This window comes from Homo sapiens, chromosome 4 (assembly GCF_000001405.40).
Source record: "Homo sapiens chromosome 4, GRCh38.p14 Primary Assembly".
NCBI lineage: Eukaryota > Metazoa > Chordata > Mammalia > Primates > Hominidae > Homo > Homo sapiens.
Genome location: NC_000004.12, coordinates 11,914,326 through 11,914,654, shown reverse-complemented (window position 1 = coordinate 11,914,654; position 329 = coordinate 11,914,326).

The following is a 329-nucleotide window of genomic DNA, read 5'->3' as shown; positions in this document are numbered from 1 at the left end:
TCTCTGGCATTCTCTTGGTTTTTCCCTCATTGTTGCAATGGCTGCCATAGCAACAAACATTCTTAGAGTCCCTCAGAACAATGTCCCAGATACGGAGGGAGAGAATGGGAGGAAAAGGCTCCTGACTTGCATTAAGCTCCCCTTTTTTTGTAAAGGAGAAAAAAATATTTCCAGAAGCTCCCAGTAGATTTTTTTCATTTTGTTTAGGGATACCTATTTAGAAAACAAAAATACAAGATGCTCAGTTAAATTTGAATTTCACTTAAGCAATAATACTGTTTAGGATAATAATCACAACATACTTATACTAACAAAAAGTTATTTATCTG